Source organism: Homo sapiens, chromosome 20 (assembly GCF_000001405.40).
Source record: "Homo sapiens chromosome 20, GRCh38.p14 Primary Assembly".
NCBI classification, from domain to species: domain Eukaryota; kingdom Metazoa; phylum Chordata; class Mammalia; order Primates; family Hominidae; genus Homo; species Homo sapiens.
In genome coordinates this window covers 59,195,070-59,222,907 of record NC_000020.11, presented here as the reverse complement: position 1 = coordinate 59,222,907, position 27,838 = coordinate 59,195,070, and the positions used below count along the sequence as shown (strand labels likewise).

General features: G+C 44.8%; 1 protein-coding gene across 12 annotated transcripts in view, besides 2 other annotated features; it reads right to left on the bottom strand.

The window, feature by feature from the left end:
• Positions 1–27,838, bottom strand: part of ZNF831 (zinc finger protein 831) — a 135,726-nt gene that overhangs the window by 36,206 nt on the left and 71,682 nt on the right. For 11 of the 12 annotated variants that reach the window (XM_047439881.1, NM_001384354.1, XM_047439880.1 and 8 more), the window contains 2 exons: positions 26,903–27,039; positions 15,852–16,003 (listed from right to left, as the gene is read on the bottom strand). In XM_047439881.1, coding sequence (XP_047295837.1) covers positions 15,852–16,003; positions 26,903–27,039 — 289 coding nt within the window. Of the gene's footprint in view, positions 1–15,851; positions 16,004–26,902; positions 27,115–27,838 lie in introns of those variants that run through there. The other variant, XM_011528540.3, reaches the window with a different exon arrangement.
• Positions 247–316: a silencer, noted in NCBI's record as "silent region_13089". NCBI's record gives its function as "represses an Ori minimal core promoter by ATAC-STARR-seq in GM12878 lymphoblastoid cells {active_cell/tissue: GM12878}" and the evidence as "EXISTENCE:reporter gene assay evidence [ECO:0000049][PMID:35858748]".
• Positions 26,150–27,349: an enhancer, noted in NCBI's record as "CDK7 strongly-dependent group 2 enhancer chr20:57770614-57771813 (GRCh37/hg19 assembly coordinates)". NCBI's record gives its function as "activates an origin of replication core promoter dependent on BRD2, BRD4, P300/CBP, MED14 and CDK7 cofactors, with strong dependence on CDK7, by STARR-seq in HCT116 cells {active_cell/tissue: HCT116}" and the evidence as "EXISTENCE:reporter gene assay evidence [ECO:0000049][PMID:35650434]".

Here is a 27,838-nt window from a genome sequence, read left to right as displayed (position 1 = left end):
CTCCCTTCCTTCGGCTTCAGCCTGCTCCCTTGGTTCTACCACGGAAACCCCTACGAACATAAAATAAATTTGTACCGCCAGGTCCCTGGTGTTCAGAGCAGGTGCCCCTGATTGCACGAGTCTGGGGTCCGCCCGCCTCCCTCCCAGACCGGACTCCAGGCCGTGCTGCGCCGCGGAGCGAGGAGGGAGCCGGGCTTCGGCGGTGCCCGCGATGGGCGCTAGGGGGCCCCCGCGGAGCTTGGAAGGCGGCTTTGCTGTAAATCCCAGCCCTCTGCGCTTTCTTCCGGGTAATAAATTCACAAGGCTTGTTTTTTAACCCCCACCAGAGGTTAAAATAGTTTCATAAAAAGTTTTGGTAAATTCATGGGTAACTTTTGAGGTTATGTGAGGTTGTTGTCACACAAAAAAAAAAAAAGAGAGAGAGAAAAACAGAGCCTTTCTTCTCTGCTCCTGCAAGATTGAGGCTTGGCGCCGGCGGGGGCGGAGGGGGCCCGGGCTTTGTGTTCTTCCAGAAGCATCCACGTGGCTAGGCGGCTCTCCAGGCCCCCGGGCGCCCACCCACCAGGGTAGGGGGGTCTCGGGAGCGCCCAGCCAGGGGTCCGCACCCACCCCGCCGCCCGCCCGGGCACCCTGCAGCCTTCCCGAGGCTTCGCTGAGCTCGACCCCCAGCCCAGCTCAGCCCAGCCCGTGGGGCGAGTGGGGTTCGGGGCTCTGCGTTGATCGCTTCCTGCCATGCCCGTGGGAATAAAGCAAAAGTTACAGCCCCTGAGTAGGGGTTAAAAAGAACTTTATCAGATTGATAAGCTGGGAGACAGGAGGAGGCAGAAAGAAAACAGCGCAGTTAAGGGAGGGGGCGTCGCACATTAACTATGATTCAGACTCCAATGCACTGAGTTCATTTTTCAATCTGCCTTTAGGTAGGGGAAAAAAAATAAGGAAATTATGGAAAATTGAGAAATAAACATCTCTGAGAGTGCTTTGCACCCGGGGGTGCTTAACGAACACTTAATAATTTCAAACGCTAGTACTTAGAAAAATGGCTTTTGTCCGTTCCCGGCACGCCAGGTGCCTCCTAGCAAAACCGGAAAGCTGAAAATGACTGAAAATGATCGCTAATGTCTATGTGGAGGGTGGTACAAAAATCACTTGTTCATGTCCTTTGGAAGTTAAGGAAATAAGCAAGCCAAAATTTTAAGAGTTTTAGCAAGGGAAAAACCTTGGAACTGAGCTTGCATTTCTTTTCCTCAACGTATGAACTTGGGCAAGACTCCTAATTAGGACAGGGCTGGCCACACATCACCTCCTGACCCCACGGGGCCATACTGAAAATTAGATGAGGAAAAACATTTGGAGGAAACTCTCAAAATGCTACTGCAGGAAGCAATGGTTGTTTTTGGAGCAGATTCCCCATGCTCCCTGCCAGCAGCCAGCAGTGGGGTGAGGGCCAGTGTGAACTATTTACCTAGAGGACGATGGGGTCCCTACAAGAGCACAGTATTGCCAGGGAGGCCTCTGGGACGAGTTGGAGCTTGGAGGATTATTCCAGTTTCGTCATTTTCTCAACCTGGAGGGCAAGTCTCACCCCGGCAGGAAGAGCACCATAGGCATGCATGTAGCACAAACTCAAGGGCCCAGAATGTACTCCCGAATCCCTACGAGCTCCCTGCTGGGGAAAGTATGGACCTGCACCATTCACTGCCTCCCTCCTTTGGCTTGAAGACGTCTTGTCCAGACCTGGGGGGAAAATTCAGTGTATGCTCACCCCTGCCACCTCCCAGCCATGATAACCACACACTGTAAAGTCCTTTGTAGTTCACACAGCACTTTCACAGTCACTGTCTCATGTAACTTGAGCCTCTCCTCAATCTCAAGGGCAAATGAGTCAGGTATTCCTGGACAGGCTTCATGGGGTTCTTGGGCACCAGATTAAATGAATTATGGACTCAGAAACTCCAGCCCCATTCTACAGATGAGGACCTGAGACAATGAGAAGGAACAAATTTTGCCCAAAGAACTAGTAAAAGTCAAGACTCAAACCAATTCCTCTAAATCCAGAAAGCAAAATTATTTATCCTGTACCAGCCTTGGCCTCAAAGGAGGCTGAGAGAGAAAGGGAAACGTTAGGCTTTCCAAGGTTAATGGAGTAAGGTGGTTGAGGAGACTTTGGAGTGTCTGGCATCAGAAGGAGCAGATTCTTCTTTAAAAAAAACAATAAAAACAGAATTGTGTTCTCAAATTCTAGCTAGATGTTGAGACCTAACCTCTTTCTCTCTGATTAAAAGGGAGGTTAGGAAGGGGTTTAGGCAAGTGTTAAAGATGGAATCAAAACAAGACTTTCTCCATGGCATGATCAAGAGGCTGGAGAGGGAGTTGAGAGGAGAATCACCTTCCCATTATGAGTCAGTGTCACTGAAGGTTTCTCTCTGTAGCCCCTAAAGTTACTTCTCCCCTAGGTTCCACTCACACCTTAGTTAGAATTAATCCTACAGGCTCATCTGCCTCCAAACCAAAAGGGCCTGGCCCCTTGTGAAGACCAGGCAGCAGGTGGGTGTCGGGGAAACAGACCCCGCAAGGCGCACCTGGTGCCTCCGTGATTTTGTTGAGAGTGAGTCTTGCCTTTTGTGTCCCATTTGTAGCCTGTTGAGTTCCATCCCTGAGATCCTCATTTTTCTTCCTGCCTCATCCACTGATTCTATTTGGCTACTGGTTCCAGCACGTTGCATAGGAAAATTCCAGAACAAAACTCAGGATTCATTTGTGGCCCTCTGCTGAGAAGGGGGTCTTCCAACTCAAATATGAGAACGGTTTTCAGAAAGTCTTTCAAAAGCAGAACCGTCCCCATTTCAGGTGTGGGATTGAAGGTATGAGAGTTTCTCTCCCTCCCTCTCCTCTTTTCTCTCTCTCAACTTTTAACATAAACACATATTTATCTTTAAAATGCCCATATTTCAACCTTCTCCTTCAATGACTATATCGTCCTACCCACCCACCTGCCCACTGAACCCATCATTAGTGCACTACCTATTGTTGCCTTCCCACCTTCTGTCGGCACAGACATCAGAATTCTAATCATGGCACTCCGTTTCTACAGGAATCTATTAGTGATTGCTAAGGGAAACACTTAGCATTTTAGATAAATAAGTACATAGTAGTTAAGTGCTCCATTCCCAGCAGTTTAGAGTATATGGCAAAAATTCTTTATGATCGAGGGATGAAAGAAGGCATGATAAAGAGTGACGGCCTTCGGTTCTCCCACATGCCCTGCTGACATTCCTTTCTGCAGTGGGGGGCCGAATGGAGAAGCCTTTGGGGTGAGCGTCGGAAGCATGCCCCACCCCCTGCTATGCTCCTGTTTATGCTAGCACACTCTCCCCTCTCCGCTCCAGCAGGCCTTGTCAGGATCCCTCATTTGGAAGCTTAATCATATCAGCGAGCTCACCGCACTGCATTTGTAATGACTTGTTTACCAGTCTGTGCCGGCTCCCCTTGCCACACTGGGCTCTCCCTAAGGACAAGGGCCATGTCATGTTCTTGTTTGCCTCTCTTCCTGCTCCCACACATTGCCTGGCACAGAACAGGCCCCAGTAATTACCTGGGACCCTCAGGCCACGTGACTCTCATCTGTCTCACAAAGGTGTCTTGGTCCACCAACCGGTTCCTAACCTCCTTGAGGTGAGGGCTCAAGCCATCTTCTGTTCCTCTCCTCTCATGGGGCTTCAAAAGACACTCAGTGGCTCACAAATGCATACCTAATTGCATTAAGCCATGAGTAAGATGGTTTCCCCATGTCTGCATGGAGGAAGAGGGGACATCTGCTGTGATTACTTGCCTGACCCCCACTTCTTTAGGGGGAACCATCTCTCATTTACTCTTTTTATTTTGTATTTTTTATTTTGAGACAGAGTCTCACTCTGTCACCTAGGCTGGAGTGTAGTAGCGCGATCTTGGCTCACTGCAACCTCCACCTCCTGGGTTCAAGCAATTTTCTTACCTCAGCCTCCCAAGTAGCTGGGACTACAGGTGCATGCCACTACACCCGGCTAATTTTTATATTTTTAGTAGAGAGGGGGTTTCACCATGTTGCCCAGGCTGGTCTTGAACTCGTGACCACAGGTGATCTGCCCTCCTTGGCCTCCTCTTAATGGCTGTAGCAAAAAGATGGCCCCAACCCAACCCTCAGTACATGGACAGGTGCAGGACCCATACCTGGCCGCTCAACATCCCCAGTGACAGGGTCAAGGACAGCCACATGACCAAACCAGGCCAGTTAGATTGAGTTTAGGGACTCAGTTATATATATAAAAAAAAAAAACAGTCACGCTAACACAAGCATGGAACAGCTGGGCAGGACCAGAGCTGCCCAGAGATGGAGAGAGACGAACACACCCACCTGCAGAGCCTCTGAACCCAGCTGAGCTTGAAGCAATTCTCTCTGTTCTGTGAGATAATGAATTGGGTTCTGTTTGTTTGTCTAAGCCAATTTGAATCAAGCCTCTTTTCCTCACACCTCAAAGAGTCCCTCCTAATACAGGCATGCAGAGTTTAAAGTTCTGCCTCCAGTAGCAACATTTCAAAATAAGATAACCAGGGAATCTGTTTGGGAATAATAAAAGCTTGAAAAAAGAAACACTGCTCTCATATTGGGAGCCCCAGCTTTGTGAGCCTTCTCATTTTATCCCGGGAGTCTGGACTATGGCCCCAAATCCCACCCTAACCCAGGAAGGGCTGAGAAATTCATCTCTCTGGCTTCTGTTTATAATGAGGAATGATGACTCTGCTCAGCCTCTGCCTAAAGCCTCACATATTACTATTTGCTCTCTCAGGCTCCTGGGAGGCCAGGGCTTCTCTGAGCTTTCTGGGAGGTAGCTGAGTAACACTGGGGCTTGGCAGCCTGCAGATCAACTCATCTCTTTTGCAAATTGCTAACTGGGTCTAATGAATTGGCTGGGCACAGAGGAAGGCCTTGATGTCCTTTGCAGTGACAGAGTCCCCCCAGAGCAGGCTGATCCATCGTGCCTCTGCTGAGGAACACATCTATTAATATTTGGTGAGAATATCAAATTGTGCCCAGTGGACATAACATCTGGTCAAGAGAAACTTACTTCTCTGTGATTTAAAAAAATAAATAAATAAATAAACGAGTCTTATCGTCCCTCCATGTTCTTTTTTTCTACTAGAGAATGCCAGCCTTCCACGGACAGAATGGATAACAGACCCCTAGTGAGAATCAAGGAGGGCTGGAAAGGCCCTCCCATCCACAGGCATAGAAGGTAGCATCTTTTACTCATCCAAGGGGAAAAGAAGAAAAAGTTTTATAAACTGGAGGAAAAGAGAGGTATTTAATATGCTACTGGTAGGGGTATAAACTGGGAAGCAATTTGAAAATGGCTATTAAAAATGTGCAACACAACACTCAAAGACCCAGCAATTTCTCTTCTTGGTTATTCCCTAGAGCAAACCCTGCCTGGGCTAAGGAGATATAAACAGTGTGTCCAAGGAGCATGATGCAAGTGTGAAACACTGGTGATGACCAAACTCTTCGTTAATAGGAGAATGGCTTCATAAATAAGAGTATTCCCACCCAGAGGGACTCTGTCCCTGCTCAGGAAGTTGAGACAGAGCTACATGTTTTCACAGTGTGGAACCACAAAACATTTTTGAGTAAAAAGAGCAAGTTGTGCAATGAGATGTGCAGTGTGCTGCTGCTGTGTTACACACACACACACACACACACACACACACACAGAGATGAAGATCTGTCAGATGTACTCCAGACTCCAAACTGTCATTTTACCTGAGGATGGTATTGGGATGGGGTAGTGGTGAAACTGAACATCAGCCTTATCTATTGCATTTTTATGTGTTAAGTATTATTCATGATTACACGTGTAATTAAAAACTAATAATTAACTTTTTTGCCCCTCTAGGTGGAGCATCACTTTTGCCAAGTTTTTTTTTTTTAAGAACAAAAGTGCCCCACCTGTCAGTGGTCTTCTAATCAGTCACCTCATACCCACTCTATTTACCCCAATTCTTGCTCCACTCTGTGTCTAGAGTGATCTTTAGAAAACCTAAATGGGATTATCTGCATAATCCTGTTGTTCTCAGGAAAAAAATTTCAGGCCCCGACTGAGGCCTGAGAAGTCCTGCAGGTGATGCCCTGTCCTGTGAGCCTCCACTGTACCTGCGCCCGTCCCCCATGCACCTGGCACACTAGCCATCTGTCTATCACGCATTCCATCCTGTGAGCCCCCACTGCACATGTGCCTGTCCCCCACTCACCCTGGCACACTGGCCATCTCTCTATCATGTGTGTACCACTTCCTCCTGGCACAGGCAGCATGCCCACCATGGGCTCCCAATCAGTGTCCCAGAATCTTAGAAATGCAGGGTTTCCGGGAGCCAGAGGTTGCAGTGAGCCGAGATCACGCCACTGCACTCCAGCCTGGGCGACAGAGTGAAACTCCATCTCAGTCAATCAATCAATAAGAAATGCAGGGATTCAGGCTGCCTCCGAAACTCTTGGCAAGTGCCTCTCACCCTAGCCCAGTGAAGCAGAGAAGGGAAGGCTCTTCCAGGAGGGTCTTTGCAGAATGTTGCCCATGGCCTCTGCAGTCAATTCTGCTGAATTGGTTCAGTGGTTTAAATCCATACAGGTCAAAGCCTTACAAAAATTGAGAAAATTCTAGATGAGACAATGCAAGCCAATGAGGATCCTACTGACAGAAAAAAAGGGGGTATGGCTCTCCAAGAGAGGGGCCCAGGGAAGGGTGTGGGGGTTGGTGGTTATTTTAGGTGATTGATAAGCAAAAAGTTAAATAAAACTGAATTGCACAATGATGAAGCTGTTCTCTCTTCTATTCTCTTTTAATCTTCTGATTAAGGAGAGAAGAAAGTCTCGACTAGGTGCTAATGCATCTTGAATGCTTCCCTAACACTTCCAAATCTCTTTTTAGCAGAAGGGGTATTCCTAGGGCTCATGGACTTCAGCTCACAACAGATTCTGGCTAGAACTTATTTACCAAAAACATTGTAGGGTTTATATTTTTGCCATGTTCCCTTAATGGCACATAATATTAACTTTTCATTTTCAGTATCGATAAACAGCTTCTCTTGAAATAATTGGACTTAAGTTTTTTTGTAAGTGCACCTAGGAGAAAAAATAAGTAAAGAATCACATAGGTGACATGTAGATGCAACAAAAGTTCTGAAGGTGGCACCTAGATGATTTCAATTTAGGCCTCAGTGCTGATCCCCAGATCAATCATCTGGGTGCCTCTGGGCAAGTCACTGGACAACTCTCTAAGCCTCAGTTTCTCCATCTGCCAAAAGAGGATAAAAGTCACTCATCACAAGTGTGTCCAAGGGAATAAATGCATATGAGCTTCCTAAATCGAAAGTGCCTCCTGAGTTTAGTTATTGAGAGAGTTTTCTAAAATCTCCATTGGAAATATAGCCCTGAACCTTGCTGTGTTTACTGTTATAAACCATGCCAGCTGCAGGAAATTGCAAAACCATAAACTCAATGTAGTTCTTATCGTTCAATAAAACATCTCCCTCAATCAATAAGACTTCAGATGTGTCATCTGGGCACAGGGCCATGCTCAGCTCCTCTTCACTGTTCCAATTTTAGTCTGTGTACCAGGAGAAGCGGCACGACTTCCAATGTGCCCAGCAAAAGCCCAAATAATTAACCTCAACCACATCAATGTTCTCCATTCAGTTCCGCAAAATGTGTTTCTAAGGAAATATATAAGAGCACTCTTTATACCACGGAATGTTTTAATGTACCCAAGCATTCGAGTAAATAGAACAGGTCTCAGTTAATGGAACTTTTAGCACAGAGGTTTTCAATAATAATAATTTTTTACAAAGCTGATATGTCATCGGCTAGAAAGAGATGTGCAGATAAATATAAAAACAGGGAAAATCTATTTATGAGATTATTTTTTGCAGCCCAAGGGTCAATAACTGTCATATTAGGAGAATGATAATAAGGCTGTATGTTGATGGGCATTAGGATCACAGAGAACAGGATGTCCCAGTTGAAATACAAACAAAATCAATGACGTTGCCTTCATCCCCCTACCTCCCTACATTCTGAATAATAATCATTTCAGATCAGTGACCTCATCAGAAATTGTGTAACCACAACAGAGAATCTTCGGCAGCTTTTGCTTAGGTGGCATCACCCTTCATATGGATGTGTAATTTTCAATTGCTTTTTCTAATGGAAAACTGACACAAGAGCATGTGAGCACATGTGCAGACACACACACATACATGCGAAGCTTGTCTTCCTAAGTGAGACTCTAACTGGGAAAATAGTGGGAAGAGCATTTTCAAGACATGATTTGCTGTGAATTTCTCCTTGGGCTAGAAGGGACGGTCTTTGACTGAGTGGCACCAGCTGACTCAAGATGACATGGAGTAGCTGTCCAGTGGAAAACTGCCCCCCAGTTCCTATGCTAGAGTAAGAAAGGCATTCCAAGTGAGAAATGAAACGGCAGCACAGTCCCATCACACATGCATTTAACCTACACCCTGACTGTTGAAGCTCACCCTTCCCTGACCCAAGAAGACACAACTCCACTATCTTGCTTAATCCTCACCATAACAACTCAATCCATTAAGATGTCACAGCAGTTTTAGAGGCTTAATGCTAAAACCAAATGGCACACACCATGCAGTGAAGCAGGGACACGTGGGAATTTTTCTAACCTCTCTTCAGTGGGAGGATTTGCTGTTTATCTTCAAAGCTGCCTGCATGGATGGATGGCCTTTTTTCTTTCCTTCTTTCATCTCAGCAGTCCTCACGCATATTGTGCACGAGAATTTCTGTTCAGAGTTGTATAAACAAATCGTACCCTTATGATAGATTTGCAGGATTCTCAAAGATAATTTTGACAATAGGGATTGTGCCTTGGGGGCCAGCTTTGGAAACAAACCTCACCAGCCTTTACAACATGGCCCCACTGTAGTGTGGGAGAGAGAGGACGTCAGGTTAAAAGGCATGGAAAGGACATTCGCAGTTCGGTTACTACTTTTACCTCCCCAGAGCTTCCATCCATAAAACGGAGGTGACATAAGATGACCCCTAAGGTTGAAAATGGTGATTCCATAGAGTTGAATTTTGCGGTTACTCCACTGCCATCCCACTGGTAACCCACTGGATTTTTCCATTTTTGACACAACGCACAATCAGAAACCAAGACTCCAAGTGGCATGCTCGCTCTTGTTCATGCTCAAAGATTTGGGGGCTGGTCTTTGCTGGTGCTTTCACCTGAAACTAAGCTTCAGGAACCTCAAGGTAAAGAAACTTATGTTTGTTAAATTGTTCATTCAACAAACTTTATTGAGGACCGGCTACATTGCTAGGCCCCTGGATGCAAACATGGAGGAGATGACCTAGCAGCTTGGTAAACAAGGTCTTCTTTAGTTGAGATCATTGCTACAGGGGAAAGGCCACCTAAAATGAATTCATTCACAATTAATTCGCAATACCACAATTTCACAGTGAATAGTATTAAGGACTTTGAGAATTTATCTGGAAAAACGACAAAACCAAAAGTTGTGAAAATAAGCTAATATGCCCACAACGATAAAATAAAAATAAACCTCCATTTTGGAGGTTATAATGGCAAACTATGAGCTAATTGTTAAAAATCAACAAAACGTAGTCAAGTATTGATGAGGACATACATTTTTACATAAAATTGTAGGGTAGACCAATGGACTATTTACCTCGCATTTACTTTAATTGCTAGGTCATCAAGAAGGACTCCCACCCCCAAAAAAATATTATAGAGCTTTATCAATCTTTCCAAAGACTTCTCTTAAGCCTCTGATATTCAAGTCACTCTCCTAGAGTTATCATCTTTGTCACTTTTCTCTTGTTCATTTGTCACCTAGTCTGATTCTGCCAATGGGTGTGAATCAGCAGGCTGCCAATGGTCTTTTCTATCAGTTTCACAAAATGCAACATCTTGAGCACAATTTGCAATTTCACTTAGCAATCAATTTCCATGATATTGCGAAAATTAATCTGAAGGGCATGGATGGATGTGATGGTAGGCAAGGAGAGAGAGAATTGAATGGGGTCTAAATTTACCAGCAGTCAGTCTATTAGGGAAAGTTCTCATGTTCCCACCTAACCAGCCAACCTTATGACTGGAGTGCTCCATAAAGAACATCTGGATTATAAGGTAGATGCCTGTTTTCCCTGGTACATCAATGACTTGATATCTAAGAACTTTCTTACCAATCCCTTCAATGAGACAGCCCCAGTCTATGAGATTAAGTGCACCCCTCAGCCCTGATCCTAAAGCAAATGCAATGAGGAAGGATGTTCTTTAAAACGGCAAAACTTCTGTCCATTCTTAGTCACACTCAGCCTGGGGTGCCTGGGAAATACACCTTAGTTGATATTTAAAAAGAAATTTCAAGTTTCCTGCACCCACTAGCTGGAAACTTGGATGGAATGGACTACCGGATTTAGGATTAGGGAAAAAAGACTCAGTTGTCCGGGCAGTCTCACAGACTCCAATCGATGTACAATCTTACACGGTAGGTCTTTATCCTTCATAACTCCTCTGGCCTTCTGCTTACAGATGACTTCACTGCCAAGCCATCTGTTAATTCAAATGATTAGAACCATGCTTTTGGAATAGTTTAGGAGAGAGGGAAATTAAACATCTTTTTTAAAAATATTTTTTTAAAAAACTCTCTCTCCATCATCCTCCCAAGTTATTGACAGGAAGTGTCTCCAAAAAATAAAGAAGACAAAATTATCAGTTATCACATCTTATTTCAGTCCCTGGACACAAGTATTCATGACTTCTTATTTCTGAATGTTTTGCTGATTCTAGCTGGCCTAAAAGGATTAGTATCTAAAGTTTTTCTCTGCCTTTAAATTGAGAAATCCCACCCACCTCCACCTACACAAAGGTCATTCTCAATTTCTTTGTTGGATTCTACCAAGTTTCCCCAAGTTACAGCCCTTTGGGTCACCCAAAACAGATTACCCCATCATTGTCCTGCCATGGAAAACAGGTCATCTCTCCTCAGAAAGAAAAAAACACAGGCACACTCACGAGCAAACACACACACACACACACACACACACACAAGGTCAGCTCCCTCACCGAGGACGCAGCTCTGATCTCTCCATCCAGGACGCGCCAGGTCAAAGGAGACCCGAGAAAGTTGTTTATAAGTGGTGGACCGCCAGGCTCAACTCTGGGTTCCTTTGAAGTGACAGTGCTTTGTCTTCAAACACCCAGTGCCCTCAGAGTGCCTGTCACTCTACTGTGAAATATTGGTATTGGCAAGTGCTGGTAATAAAACCCCTGTGCCCCTTTGATTTCCAGTGGTATTTATTTTAAAGCATTCTTCCACCCTCCAACTCCATGGTGTCCATCATGATCTGTCAACCCCAGCTTGCTGGTTTGCCCTACTAGCCTTCCCGGTTCCCTCTCTGACACTTCAATAAGGAGCAGGCAGTGATTGATATTCTCTGGGCTAGGGCTTCTACCACATCCTGCAGCTCACAGCTGCCCTGCAGTGGACATTCTCCATGTCCTTCCTAATTGCTGGAGAGGAGGGCCTTTGAAAATGGGAGCCAGGGACCTAGGCCCCTGGTTCAACTGGATGCTCAAATAACAAACATGAAAGCATAGATATTTGTCACCATTCCAGGCTGTTGCTGGGGCCTTATTACCTATGTAAGGGGATGGGGTGGTGGAGCTGTGTTCCCAGCAGGAATCTGAGCTATGGAAAGCCACTTGTTTCTTAGATCTATATTCAGGTTTTGTTTCTGAATTTTTTTTTCTCCTTGGATTTGTTTTTTTTTTTTTTTTCTTTTTTTTTGAGACGGAGTCTCGCTCTGTCGCCCAGGCCGGACTGCGGACTGCAGTGGCGCAATCTCGGCTCACTGCAAGCTCCGCCTCCCGGGTTCACGCCATTCTCCTGCCTCAGCCTCCCGAGTAGCTGGGACTACAGGCGCCCGCCACCGCGCCCGGCTAATTTTTTGTATTTTTAGTAGAGACGGGGGGATTTGGTTTTATTCACCATTCATTGGTGCCCCCAGTTTGCTCTTGGGATTTAGGTGTGAAGAAAGCAATGAAATGCTGATGTTGAAACAGGATGTTTATGGAAGTGGGATTTCCCCCACATGGAGGGAGCTCAGGATCTCTGGGACTCCTCCATTAGTCCATGGGGTGAGCGTGCAGGACCCTTCCCTGAGGCTGAAGGGAAGAAGGGGTGAAAGGGCTTTTCATTCTGGGCTCTCTGCTCACTGAGGCCCCCAGGGTCACCATGAGCATGCAGGATAAGCTGCAGATGAGGCAGGGGTGCCAACTTCCATGGAACACGTTGGGAACTGTGTCCCCTGTGGAGGGGGAGAGAGGAGCAGGTGTCCCTGCTGCAGCTGACACAGCCTCATGCTCAGGGCCAGCGTGTGAGCCAGACAAGTCAGGCCACAGACGGATTTCAGCTCCAACAAACACAATCCTCACATATGGCGGCTCCGCGGAGCCCCATCCCGCCGGCCACTGGGCTTTCTTCCTGAAGGGAAGCCAGTGGGCCCCATAGCTATCAGCATCGAGGCTACCCGTGGTCACTTGGACAACTGTTCCCCCAAGTGTGGAGCATGTCCTGCTGGCAGTGGCCGGGGCAATTCTGTTTTAATTGTATTAGGTTTATAATAGAACTTTCCTGCAAAAATGATTTACAAACAATGAGAGCCCAGATGATGTGCATTATTGTGCACTGAGTGTCCGTGTGTGTCCCTGCCTTTTTTGTTTACAAACACATTTTAAGGCCACTTCTGTTGGTTCACAGATAGGATAAAACCTGTAAGGATGGTTGAATAGTGGCCCTGAGGTCCTAGTCCATGGAACCTGTGGATGGGTATGACCTGAGTTAGAAAAAGGGTCTCAGAAGCAGTAATCAAATTAAGGATCTTGAAATGAGATAAGCCCACGTTTAGTGAGGCTCCTAAATCCAAAGACAAGTGTCTTTATAAGAGAAAGACAGAAGAAGATATGACCCACAGTGACACAGGGAGAAGTCCACATGAAGATGTAGGCAGAGGCCACAAGACGTAGATGAGGCAACAAACCAAGGAAATAGCAGGAAATAGCTGGAGGCCCCAGAAGCCAAAAGAGGCCAGGAAGGATCACCCCTAGAAAGTCCAGAGGGAGCATCAGCCTCTCTTGGCCTCCAAAACTGGGAGAGAATCCAGTTTTACTGTTCAAAGCCACCACCTTTGTGGCAATTTCTTACAACAACCCTAGGAAACTGATACAGGTGACACCCAAGTGGAGACACTGTCATCAATGGCTGTCCCACATCTTCTGGGGGCCCAGCATGTGCCCAGCCCACCTACACTCTATCTGAACTCCCCATGTTCCCTCTTCTTGACCCTGAGACTTTATCCACTCAATCCCCAGTCCAGAAAGTCTCTGTCTGTTCTCCCTACATCCAGATTTCCAAAAGAACCCCCATCTTTCCAGAAAGAGCCTCCTTTTTGTCTTCCTCCCCCAACACTAATGAGATGACCTCGTCCTCTGCTGAACAACAAGAAAACACTCATTACCCACATGCACACTCATGGGCACTCAGTATGTGCTAACTGTCATGCACATGTGTTTATAATGCTGAGCATATGATGATACTTGGTCATCCATGCTGGAGTCTGCAAGGCATTGCTGCACCTTGAATCTCACACTGACAGACCGTCGACATCCTAGACAGACAGACACGAGATGTCCCGGGGAAGCAAACAGATCTGCCAATGTCGTTCCCGGTGGCATCTGAGCTAAGGGGTGGACAGTGGGTCAGTCTGTCTGTCTTTGTCCTGTACCACATTTATCGAGACCAGGGGTCACCTTAGTTCCCCTCCCTGTCACAGTGCCGAGTCCAGTGCCTGGGGAGCTAAGCAGGGAGGCTGACGGGGAGTTCCAGGAGCAGCTCCATTTGGCTGTCCTTAAGGTGCTGGGAAGAGAGCTGGTGGTAAGCTCCTCCATGGGGGCAACTGGCAGAGCTCTGGCTGATTCTGTTGGATTCCACCAGTGACCATCAGAACCTCCCAGGTAGCGGGGGCTACCAGCTCTCTGCCAGCGTCTCAGCAGGGGTTCCATCCAAGCTCTACCCCATAAAGGAAAATTCAAGAACTGGAGCTGATGGGGGCAAAAGTGAGGGAAGAGTCCATGGGAACAGGGAACGAGGAGTCAGCCAGCAAGTACCATGACCCCCGAGGCTCACTTCGTACTTGGAGTTCCCATGCCTCTGGAAGTCACCCACACACACACAATTCTGTGCACAATTCCCAGGTACCCTGAGTTGGCACTTCAGAGGGTGCTGGGCTGGACCTGGATTCCCAGCTGTGGGTTATACATTGGAAAACTCTTAAGGAGAGACGAGGGGCATCCACAGGGCACCTGGAGAGCACAGAGGTGATATCGATGGCACCTGTGCCTGTCACAGGACGGCCCAACGAGAAAGCAGAGAGTTGCATGGTCCCCTGGCCTTTGCATGGGGGAGACATCCTCTTGTCCTGGTGGTACAGACCAGCATTTAGCCCTGAGATGCCCTCCATGGGGCGTGGCAGTATCAAGCACAGCCCAATGGGCAATTTCGCTGGATACAGAGGAGGGAGATGGAGGTGAGGTTGAGAGCCACAGATGAGGAAGAGAGCTCAGAGCCAGCTTCTTGATGGAATTTCCACCTACCCAACCCCCTGCATCCCAGCCTCTCCCACATGGGGCTTGACCCTTGACCTTCCTTAACAAAAACAACCTTTCTTCTTCAACAACTGGCCCCAACTGTAAGATGAATTCTTGCCTGGATTTAAATTCTCTCTGGGAAACAAGACTACTCCATGTCCTTGCCTACCCTGGAAGGCTCTGGGGGTTGGGGAGCAGAGGTGTGGGGAGAGCACTCAAGTGCCATCTGCCTGTAGGGGGCACTGGAGCTACACAAAGGTGGAGGCAGAGTTGCCCCAGCAAAGGATCCCCCAGGGCCAAAGACCTCAGGCATGAGACAGAGCCAAGGGTTAGCTCTTGAGCCAAACAGACAACAATGAACCACAGAAGGATGGTAATTCAGGCACTGCTGGCCAGATGGGACCCTGCAGCATTTCCCACAGGGTATTCATTTTTCCCAATCAACAATCAAGCAAGGCTAAGGCTGAGCTCCTTAATGCTGGGGAGAGGGGAGAAAGGAAGAGGAAATTGAGATCCAGAGAAGTTGAGCCATTTGCCCCGGTTGCCCAGTGATTGCAGCTTAAAATAGCCATTTTTCCAGGAAGCAGCCCCACTTAGTTCGCCTTTTATTTATTTCCAAGCATGGTGAAGAGTGTGCCTCTTACCACTTCACATGTAAGCAATGTACCCTGCAGCCTCACATAACTACTCATCTTTCTATTTCACATGGGCTCTTAAGCCCATCCACAGACCCACTTTAGCTTTACAATGACCCTGCAGAGAGAACTGAGTGAGCTTTCTTTTTAGAAATAGTGAAACTAGAGGCACCAAGAGCTGTGATTCATGTTCTCCTGGGTCCTGGAGGGAACCTGCACCTGGTTCAGAGCTTGGCACAGGTGGCCAGTACTCAAGGATATTGGTGACTTCTCAATATTGAATTCTCCGTCTTCTACCACATGCCCTCCCCACTAGTTTAGGGTCACTTTGATTGTCTCATAGACGTCATGCCTCTGTTACTCTCCCTTTTGGGCCTGACCCCTGTGGCACTTGGGGCTGACTCCTGCCCATCCCAAATCCCCAGTGTCTATGCCTTGGGCGGGTGCCTTCGAGTGCCCAGTCTGGATGCACCTCCAAAGAGAGCATTACCTGCTATTTCTGAAGAGGTCTGCCCAGGGGTCCTGCATGGCTTCAGTCCCTCAAGTGCGGGAGGGTGGCGGCTTCTTCTTCGCACCCAGGTTGGTGTGCGAAGTCTACTGGCTCTCAGCTGAACACAGCTCTGCAAGAAATTCCCTTTGTACCTGTAGAAGAGAGAAGCATGCTTGCAGTAACCAGCCTGGAGAGCACATGCCTGGAAAAATCTGGAAAGTCACTGTGGGGTGCCCAGGAGAACACGGGGCTCAACCTCTAACTAGCTGGTCAGCTCTGAGCAACTCCTGATCCCTCCATACCTCATCCCCCACCTCCCCAGGATAATGCGCCTAGCTTCAGAGGTTGTTGTAGGAACTAAATGAGGTGGTCACAAAATGCTTCCCAGGATGCTTAGTCATAGCAAGGGCTTAGTCAAGGATAGTTGCTGCAATTAGGTTTTAAGCTACGTGGTCTTGACTACTTGCTTCACAGACTGTCCAACAGTTTATTCTTCAATGATGGAAATGTTCTGTAATCTGCATTGACAAATACAGCAGCCATTAGGCCCATGTAGCTATTGTGCATTTGAAATGTAGTTAGTGTGTCTGAGAAACTGAGTCTTAAATTGTATTTCACTTTAATGAATTTAAATAGCCACGTGTGGCTAGTGACCACTGTACTGGACAGCATTCTTCATAGACCTTCCATCTGGAGGAGCCCTACTGGATCATCTGATTTATTTGTCTTCAAATAAATTTTCTTCAAATAAGATGTATTTGTCTTCAAAACAAAGTATTCACATCTCAGAGGGATGTGATGAGGGTAGAGAAAGAAAAACACTAGAGCTTCTATTTATATTTATTTTCATCTAGTCTTTCTTATTTGTGACCACCATATTGGACAACATTCTTCATAGACCTTCCATCTGGAGGAGCCCTACCAGATCATCTGATTTATTTGTCTTCAACACGAAGTATTTACATCTCAGAGGGAAGGCATGATGACAGTAGAGAAAGAAAAACACTAGAGCTTCTATTTACATTTATTTTCATCTAGTCTTTCTTATTTCTATTGTTTCATGTCCTTTCTTGTTTCTATTGTTTCATGTCATAGAGCAGAATATATGTATAATTTGTAAATGAACAAATACACATTTAATAGGTGCAGGCTACAAATTATTTTACTAATAGGAATGTGCAACCACAAACAGGCCATCAACCTAGTATAGCACCCCCATTATATAGGCAAAAGAATGAGACGAAGAGCCAGGCCTGCAATATGCCTTAAGCTCTTTTAGAAGATCTTTGCACTGCTTCTAACTGCCTGGTCAAGCCACAAGTAATCCCTTCCCTTTACAAGCCTCAGTTTACAATATTTCTACTCCACAGTGCTCCTCAGAACCGGCTATTTTCCTTTCTCATTTATCTGAGCCACCGCCAAGATCCAGCCGCAGTCCCCTAATCACCAGGGCCGCTCACAAAATTTTAAATAAGATCTACAGAATGCAGTATCCTCTTGGGCACTGGTTTTTCCTGGCAGCAACAATGAGAAAGTGACATTTTGTTCATCTTTTCCGGCCTCTGTGTTTGGGAGAAGCTCCCCTCAACTGGGCATGATTGCCTCCCCTGTCTGGGGCAGGAGCTGTCATTCCCCGGCTGGGGGGAGGGGAGGTTAGTTTGGTGGGGGAGGCAGTGGTGGCTGGTTTGTTCTTTGAAGCAGTTGTCAAGAACACAGGTTCCTGAAAGAGCTATCTGAGCCAGGGTGGGGAGCGACAAACCCCTGAACCAAATCCTGCAGGGCCTGGGTGGAGAGAGATTTCAAAGTGCAGAGACAAAGGGAGGAAGGAAGGGGTGGCACATGGAGAGAATTCTTCTTCCACCTGCTGCTGGGTCACCTTTGCGCAAGTCAGTGGGTGGCTGCCACACACTTGCAGGTGTTAAGAACGGCACAGTTTGAACTGCAGGGAGGTTTTACTTTCAGAAAATTAGCAAGCGGGGGTCTTTCTCCTCACGCAAAATAACAAGGAGAGAGCTAGGAAAGGCCCCGCCTCTGAATTCGCACTTCATCAAGGTGGAATTTCAAACTTTTTGCCTTCGAGAACAGCCCAAGTGGACCTTGGCAATGTCTTCAAAGGACTGTTTAGTTTAGTCATGGGCAGGGTACGTTTCTCTCTCTCCTGGTTCTCCCAAAACGTTCTGTGTGCAGCCCCTCCTGGAGAAGCAGCATCCTGGCTTAGGAAGGTTTTGCAAGCTCATCTCCATCACCAGCCATGCAAGTCCCCTCAAGGTGTGGCCAGTGCTGTTGGGGCCCCATCCAGGACACTTTCGTCAGGCTGCACCTCCGCACCCGGCTGTGAGGGTGATACACTCGTCACCCCCTTGCCACCTTTGTCAGGCTCTCTCAGGGAAGGACAGTAGACCCAAGGAGTGGCTCTTGCAGGTGTACACAGCCCACTCCACACACATTCCTTTCTGGGGCGAAACTATGAGATCTGACGTGCTATTTCCCTCACTTTCCTCTCTTGACCCCACAGAGAAGAACAAAGCAAAGAGAAGAGCAGTGGAGGTGTGGATGGCAGAGCCTCTGTATCCTGCTAAGCAGGACCTGGGACTGCTGTCAAAGCTCTGGGGCTGTGGCCAACGTGACAAAGAGTCTCAGCCACATGTGGTGGGGGTCACATGCAGCAGAGGCCACGTGGACTCAGGGCCACATCTGTAGGTCTTTGTCTTTACCTCACTGCAGAGATTGTGCTCTCATTACTGAGAGTGCTATCTCATTGAATAAGTAAATTGTGTGATGACTAAAGTGAATAGACACATGGCTTAGACAGATAAACATCCGCTCCATAAGGAAAAACACTATCTGCTAATAGAATTGCATTCTCAAAGCCCAGGATTTTTTTCTTCTCCACTCTCCCCTTCAACGACTAATGTATATTTTAGGGTTTTATAGAGTGCCCTTCTCCCATACAACCTGCAATCTTCTCCTCGCTCATTTCCATTCACTTGGGGCTTCACAATTCATTGTTCCATTTGTTGGAAGCTTCCTAGGAACAAGTCTCTGAATGTTTCATGCTTCATACAGCACAGTACACAGTTATAAATTAATCAATAAAATCTAATTCCATGATCCCGCGCTTGCTTTGGGCAAGGCAGGGAGGTATTTTGTGAGTGCTCCGGATCTCTATGCCTCTAGTTAATGTCAGGGCAATTAGGCTTCTGAGTATGAATTTTCTGCGTTTTTCCATTTCCACTCTGGAAGTGGATCCTGCATTTTCTAATCTCTCTTCTTTAACTCATGTAGTTTTGTTAATGAAAACAACCATTTTCATTACAGTGTGGTATTTGCAGTTGGCAAAAAACATAGAGATGAATGAAAGCAGAATGAAAGGCCCTGAAAAAAACTTCAAGTATAAACGGGAAGCTAAAATTTAACATGTAAGTGGGCAAAAGTGGATTAATGCAGGGGTCTGCTTGATTTTTATGCAAAGGTCCAGCTAATAAATATTTTAGACTTTGTATGCCACAGACAATCTGTGCCACGTATTCTTCTTCTGTTTTTATATGGATAAGCTTTTAAAAATATAAAAACCAAGCCAGGCATGGTGGTGCATGCCTGTACTCCCAGCTACTCCAGAAGCTGAGGCAGGAAGACCACTGAGGCCAGGAGTGTGAGGCTGTGGTGTGCTATGATCACACCTGTGAATAGCCACTGCCCTGCAGCCTGGGCAACATAGTGAGACCCTGTCGATCAAATATATATGTATATAAATAATGCGTTGCTCATGGTTAAAATAAGTTAAAAACCATATTTAACCCGTGGTCCATAGTTGTCTTTATAAACAAAAATAAAAATAAATCCTTCTATATATATGAATTCATACAAGAAGAAAACATAAGATAACATATCTGCATATTTTTGAAAGTAGGAAATTGAGAGTAAAGAAAGATTTCTTAGATATACCAAAAAGTCATGAAAAGACAGCCCCATTTGACTACATCAAAATTTACAAATTCTTAATGAAAAAACCATCATTATCAAGGTTAAAAAATAAGAACTCCATTTCCAACAGCACAGTGGACTCAATACTCTGACTGATTACCACCAAATTTATCCTTATACTGAAAACAATTAAAAATGCAGCGTAAAATGTAAACATTTTTTAAACTTATATTTAAATTTACGTATGTTCTGATTAAAAGATAAGAAATAGTTCAAAGGCAAAAACCAAGTGAGAGCTGCGCCCTGGAAAAGTGAGATTGCTTTCACTTTGAGGAATCTGCCAAACCAGATGAGGATGACCTTCCTATTTTCATGCTCTGGTGCAGCTGAGGGTACAGGACTCAAAGCCCAGAATGTTCTTCAGTGAGAGGCACATGGAAGACCCAACCTCCTTTCCTGCATAAAGCTGAGACCTCTGAAAGGCATACTCTCAGTATGTGGGTGAATTAGAAATAAATACTCCCTACCCCACCACCTGCCCGGGGAACATAACAACAAACAAACGAGCACCCCCAGGCACCCAGTGGAAGCAAAACAAATATTTATTGGAGGAATCCACCTTCAACCCACATCTCAAAGTTCCAAAAATATCAACTCACAGTCAAAAATTTTAACACAAACAAGGAAATAAGTTAACATATGTGAGAGCAAATATATAAAACAGAGTCAGATGTGCCAAGACTTCATAGGTTGTCATTGTCAGATGCAAAACATTAGATGTGTTTTTTTTTTTAAAAAAAAAAAAAAAGGTTGAAAATAAGAGTCAAGTGCAAGAGACTATAAAATGATCAAGCAAATTAAAAAAATAATTAAATAAAACTTTTTGGAAATAAAATATAATTCACATCAACAATTGAACTTAAACTTTAGCAGACCAATAAAAGTAGGGGAGATCAACTAGGAGGCACTGCAATAGGCCAGGGACTTCTGACCAAGACTTTGCAAAAGTAACCAGATTTACCATCCCAAGTAAAAAACTGAATAAAGATACAAAACAATAGTGTTCAGGGCATTGGACATTGAGCAATAAAGGCAGTGATCCATGAAAGAAGAGAAACAGATGAGGTAAGCCTGATGACACCTCAACTTATTGATGGAGAAATTTTCCAGGTCTGGAACCATTTGTTGAAAAGACTATACTTTTTCCGCTGAATTTCCTTTGAGCCTGTATGAAAAATCAATTGACCACAGCATGGTCTATTTCTGTATTCTCTATTTTGCTCCATTGATCTTTGTATCCATTTTGATGCAAAAACCACACTCTTTGGAATACTTTAGCTTTATAATAAGTCTCAGAGTCAAGCGGCGTAATCAAGTCAGTGTGGTATTTGCATTGAAATAGACAAATAGATCAACAAATGATGCTGGAACAACTAGATAAGATATCCACACACAAAAATAAGAACTTCGATCCATACATCACACCATATGTAAACACTAAGTGAAAATGAATTATAGACCTAAATATAAAACTTAAAAGTATAAAACTTTAGAGAAAAATTTAGAAGAAAAGCTTTGAAGCTCTGTTTAGACACACTTTTTTAAACTATGACACTAAAAACATAACAAAAAAAGGTAAATTAAATATCATCAAAGTGAAAGACAGTTGCTTTTTAAAAGATGCTACTAAAAGAATAGAAAGATAAGCCATAGATTGAAAGAAAATAGTTACAAATCACATCTCCGATAAGGAACTTATAATCAGAGTATATTAAAAAAATTCTCAAAACTCAATAAGAAAACAACCCATTTTTGATGCGCAAAAGATTTGAAGAGACACTTCGCCAGAGAAGATATACAAATGCTAAATAAGCACACAAAAAAAGATGCTGAATATCATCACTTGTTAGGGAAATGCAAATTCAAGCTATAAAGAGATACCACTACATAACTATTCAAATGACTAAAACTAAAAAAAATTACCATACCAAGTGTTGGCAATAATGTAGAGAAATGGAACTCTCATACTCTGATAGTGGAGATGTAAAATAATACAACCACTTTGGAAAACAATTTGGCAGCTTCTTTAAAAGTTAATAATACATCTACCATATGATCCAGGCTTTTCACCTCTAGGTATTTTCCCAAGATAATTTAAAGCATATGTCCATACAAAGGTTTGCATATGAATATTTATAGTCATTTTATTTGTAATAGCCCCAAACTGAAACAAACCAAATGTCTATCAACAAGTGAACATGTATACAAATTGTGACATACTCACTCAATGGCATACTAGTTAGCAATAAGAAGGAATGTGTTCTTGATAAACACAACATGGATGAACCTCAAAATAGTAATACTGAGTGAATAAAGCCAGGCAAAAAAAAGAGAGCATATATTGTATGATTCTGTTTCTATAAAATTCTAGAAAAGGCAAACTATCCTATGTGACAGAAAGCACATCAGCGGTTACCTGGGGATGGAAGGACTTCAGGACGGGCAGAAGGGAGGAATTACAAAAGGATAGGAGGAAACTTTTGGGCTTGACAGATATGTTCATGATCCTGGTTATATTGTTTCACAGGTATATATATATGTCAAAATTTATTTAATTGTATGTTTTAAATATGTGCAATTTATTAAAATTTAATTATACTTTAATAAAGCTTTACAAAAAATAGTAGATTTAAAAACTGGTAAAATTTTAAAGACAGATTTGAACAAAGTATCCAGATTATAGCACAGAGAAACAAGGTTATTAAAAGTATTAAAAGACATGAAAGATAGAAAAGGACTAATATATATTATTTCAGTATTTCAGAAAGGAAGGAGAGGGAACAGGACAGAGGCAATATTTGGAGAATGATGGCTAAGAATTTTTTACAGAGAGACACCAATCCACAAATCAAAATAGCCCTGTGGATTCCTAATGGAACAAATAAAAAGCAACATACATCTATATACATCAAAGTAAAACTATGGAACACCAAAGGATAAAAGAAGATCTTAAAGGTAGCCAGAGATAAAAGACTTTCAAAAGACAGATGAGTAGTCTAACAGCTGGCTTTCTTTACCACAAAATGGAAGCTGACAGATAGTGCAATGGTAGCTTTGATGTGCTGAGAAAATAACAGTCAACCTAGAATTGTGTACCCAGCAAACTATTTTTCAACAACAATGATGAAATAAATATATTTGCAGAGTAATAAAAACTAAGAGAATTTCCTTCTCTAATAAAGGAAATTCTAAAGAATATGATTTAGGTAGAAGAAAATAATCCCAGAAGGAAGATCTGACATGCAGAAACAAATGAAAAGACAAGAGATGGGCAATTATGTGGGTACATATAAATAAAGGGGCTTAAAAAGACAAGTAATAGACTTGGAAACATATTTGCAGTATATATAACAGGCAAATAATACATACAAATCTAGGATATATATAGAATCCTATAAATTATATTCATCACTTAAAAAATCTGATAACAACAAATATTAGGAAGCATATGAATGAAGGGCAAACTCTTACTCATGGATGAGACACTCTACAGCAATCAGAATGAATGAATTTGATCAGTATGTCCTGACACGATGAGATCTTCAAAAACACAATGTTGACCTTAAAAATCAAGCTGAAGAATGATAAATGATAAATAACTATGATACTTTTATGTGTACTTTAAAGACACCAAACAATATTATATATTATTGGTGATTTGCAAAGTATGAAAACACAGATTGATATGATTTGTGCCAAATACATAAAACAACATAATAATCTTTTAAATTTTTCTTTTCTATATATTGTTATATAACATTTAAGGTAATATTTTACTTAGAAGAGAACTGTATCATTCTCTGTGAGCTAAGGACTATAGAGCAATCTCTGCTACAGTATTTCATTTTCTGTAGAACATTAAGACAACTGAAATTAAAGTGGGAAAATGAATCAAGAAGTAGGCTTCCTTCTTGAGGAGAGAACACAAGGGTTACGTGATAGATAGATAGATAGATAGATAGATAGATAGATAGATAGATAGATAGATAGATAGATAGATATGTAAGTTGATGGGTGGGTGGGTGGGTGGGCAGATGGACAGATAAATATCTACAAACATATGTGTGTGGGTGGTTGGATAAACAGTGTGGTAGGCAGAGTAATACCTCCCCTCAAAGACGTCCATGCCTAGATATCCATGCCCTCATGGTGCTGATGCTTTTTCTGAGACAGGGGAGCCAGCCATGTGAGGAGCAAGAGGAGGAGTGTGCAGATGGAGGTAGAGGGACTAGCAGGTGCAAAGGCCTTGAAGCTGGAATTAACTCAAAAGACAGTCATGAGCCAACAAAAGGACCAATGATAAACAAATCACTATCAACCAATAAACGTTTGTGCATATAAAAAGCTCAACAGCTTCCTCCTCATTTGACCCAGCCAGGAGCTCTTGGTTAGAGCTCTAAGTCCTTGTTCAGACTCCTCCCTGTTCTGCAATGCCCCTGCCCCTTCCTGTGCCCATCCATGGGCTCTTGTCGTGATTTGTTGAGTGGAGAGGCCGTCTAGTTCCACAAGGCCAGCTAGTAAGGCCAAAATTTGCAAACTCAAATGCTATGGGGGCCAGGCAGAGAGCATAACTGAGAGAGGCTGGCCGAGGGTAAGACATTAGGGAGAGGTGAGCTAGAGAGCGCAGCAGGGAACACAGCTCTTACCCACAAGGGGTGGCCACTGCTCATCTCCATCTGGCTGTTGCCATGTAAGGAGGCAGGCCCAGTGTCTTCAGAGCTTCCCATATTTCAAGAAAAGTTAGAAATCCAGATTTTTATGAGAAATCTTTACATCTAATTATGTGGCTGCTAAGTGCCAAAAGTTTTAGAGCACTGGCCTAATAAGGGTCTTACATGCACTGTGTTTGGCCCAAGAGCTGCTAGTGGGTTTGCAAGGTGTCCTGGAGTGATATCTCCAAGCCTCCTGGGCTCCAGTCTGGGACCCTCACCCTGGATTAAGAAAGTTTCCTCGGCCACCTCCAGGTGTGGGCACCAGGCACACAGCAGGTACATGGTAAATATTTTCGAATTAGTCAAGCTGAAGTCTTGGGAAAGTGGGAGCTGTTAATGAGGCAACCCATCCTCTTCCCTCTCCCCACATCTTTCCAATGATGCCTGGAGGCTTCAGGCTCATCAACTATCAGTCACATGTAACTGAGCACTTCCTCCTTATTGGTGAGATACTGAGGAGGACCACAACCACTAGCCGATGTCCCTTGTTTCCCAGAGCCCCGCATGCAGCTCCTCCGTCTGGATGGCATGCATTCCCCTTTCCTCCAAGAGCAGCACTCGAATTTTCCTTTGGAAGACTGTCCTTCCCACACCACCAAGTTTGGGCCAGGGCTGATGATGAGGCTTAGAGGCCCCATTACACAGGCAGGGAGGCCTTGTTTTGTTCAGACTACCTTGAGTCAGGCTTCTGTCTCAGGACCCTGAGTGATCCATGAGAAAGGAGGGACGCTGGAAAGGAAAGCCCCACTCCCCCAAGCCTGCTCTGGGGGCCACGCCAGCACCATCACCTGGCTGTGTCAGAAATGCAAAATCTCAAGCATTGCAAGAAAAATCTAGAAAATGCCAGGCCGCTAGCGTGCCCAGGACAGGCTGGGGTGCACCAAGACAAGCGACTAGCTGGCACACAGGCTATGGAAGGAGACCGGCTGGTTCAAATCTGGGTCCTTGGGTAGGTTATCTAAGCTCTCTGTGTCTCCATTTCCTCATGAGAAAAATGGGGCTAATAATACCATCCACATCATGGGCAGTACCTTGTGGGATCTCCTGAAACAATGCATGCCAGAAAGCGATTAGGGAAAGTCTGGCACACAGCAAGTGCCCCATAATGTTAGCTCTGGACACATGGTCCCGGCAGACCATTGATAGAGGCAGGGCAGGAGGGGGAACCAAAAGAGAAGAGGCCATCTCTAGCCACTGAGGGTCTGAGCAGCTACAGGGGAAAGTTAGGAATTTGGATCGCCCCTTGAAGAATATCCAGGCTTTGGATAAATTACTGACAGTGCAGTGGCTCACCGCCTATAATCCCAGCACTTTGGGAGGCCAAGACGAGAGGATCGCTTGAGGCCAGGAGTTTGAGACCAGCCTGGGCAACATGGCAAAACCCCGTCTCTACTAAAAATACAAAAAAAAAAAAAAAATAGCTGGGCGTGGTGGCCCATGCCTGTAATCCCAGCTACTCAGGAGGCTGAGCAGGCAAATCGCTTGAACCCCCAAGGCAGAGGTTACAGTGAGCCGAGATCACGCCACTGCACTCCAGCCTGGGCAACAGAGTCAGACTCAGTCTCAAAAAAGAAAAAAAAGGACTGACAGTCTGGGGGAGAATGTTGACAGGTTGACAACTGAGGTGTGGAGTATAAATGCTTCAGGGATCTGGGATTAGAATGTGGATTAGAGAATGGGATGAGGGTGGAGGGCGAGCAGGAGAGGAGGAGATCACAGGGAAAATGAGGGTAGAAAGAGGGCAGGGGTTAGAGAATTCGCTTTTCAACTTGTATGCAACGGGCAGCCTGAAGGGTTTTAAGCAAAGGAGAAAGACAATCCAAGAAAGGCACAATGAAAGAGTGGCAGGAAAATCCACAGGGCCTCCTGTTTGTTGGGGGTGGATATGTGCAAACACATACCGCAAAGAAAAGTCTAGAAGGGCACACTCCTGAATGTTCACGGTGATTATCTCTGCGTGGCGAGATTACTAGGATGTTTTATTGTCTTCTCTTTGCTCATCTGTATTGTCAAATTTTTCTGCAAAGGACATTCATTGCTTGCATAATTAAAAACACAATAAAAGCTGTAAATAATTAACAGGCTCTCTCTCTTCCAGACTTAAGTTGAATGGATGTGTTTTCAACCCAGTTATTTCAAAGATTTGCTGGATTCCTGGCCTTAGAAAGGTGCCATCAAAAAATACACAGGCGGTGAGTTGCAAGGGGTGGGAAACAAATTCAGTCCTTTAATCATGAAGCTCTAAACCCTAGGAAACAGGAACTCTTTCTCTGGAGCACACGGATACCTTTCAAATCCCATAGTAAATTCTTCTTGGGGTTTTGTGGAAATGACAGAGGTGGCCACTCATCCTACCTTTTAGGGTTGATCTTCAGTTTTCTCTGCTTGCTGTTCCCACGAGACATCTTTGCCCTCCAAGGCAGGCCTTTCTTCCATTCTGGCTCAGACACCTGGTGCTGGGGCATCACCCCTGGGACTGTTGGGTAGGAGAACTGAAAACACCAAGCATGTTGGCATCACATTACTCAAAGTCCTCATGATGAAGAAAACTCCAAAGGGTTCTCGCTCTGCAGACAAGATGCCTGTCTTCAGAAATCAAAACGGAAATACTGCATTGCTAAACGGGCTGAGCCCCTGAGAAGTTCAACCAGGCAACGGCAGAGCGTTCCTGGACAGAACCTCCTGAAACCCCGCCTGGGCTTGATCCGCAGAGGAAAGCCTATGCCATCGGTGTTAACTGGAGGCCAAAGAAACACGGTGACCAGCCCCTTTACTATCCCCTAAATCCACCTCCCCGGGAGCCCCCACACCCCTGGGGCCCTACTGACTAACCCGCTACTCTCAAGATGAAAACAGCACTCCCCACAACTTTGGGTTCCACCTAGGGAAAGCCGAACAGCCTGCAAGACTCTGGTCTCCGGGCCTTTGTCACTGTCCACAAAGGTTAAATGACTGCTGAGCCTCCAGGACCGTCCTCAGTGGCCGCGGCCCAAGCCACTCCAGAGCAGGACTAAGCCCTCAGTCATCACAACCAGGTGCGTGAACCCCCTCTCAAGGTGGAGCTCTGCATTATCATTTCTTCACCAAGTGAGAACACCTGTGAGCATCCACCACATTTCCCCCTTTTCTCTCTGCCCCCAGGAACCTCAGAGAGAGGGCTGAGTCCAATCAACAGTAATTCCTTCTCCAGAATCCCCAGTATAAAGACTCTCTCAATTATTGGGAGTCTCTGGCTTATAATCTTAGAATGATCCAGAGAGCTCACCTCTCTGATGGAGTGTTTCATTTTAC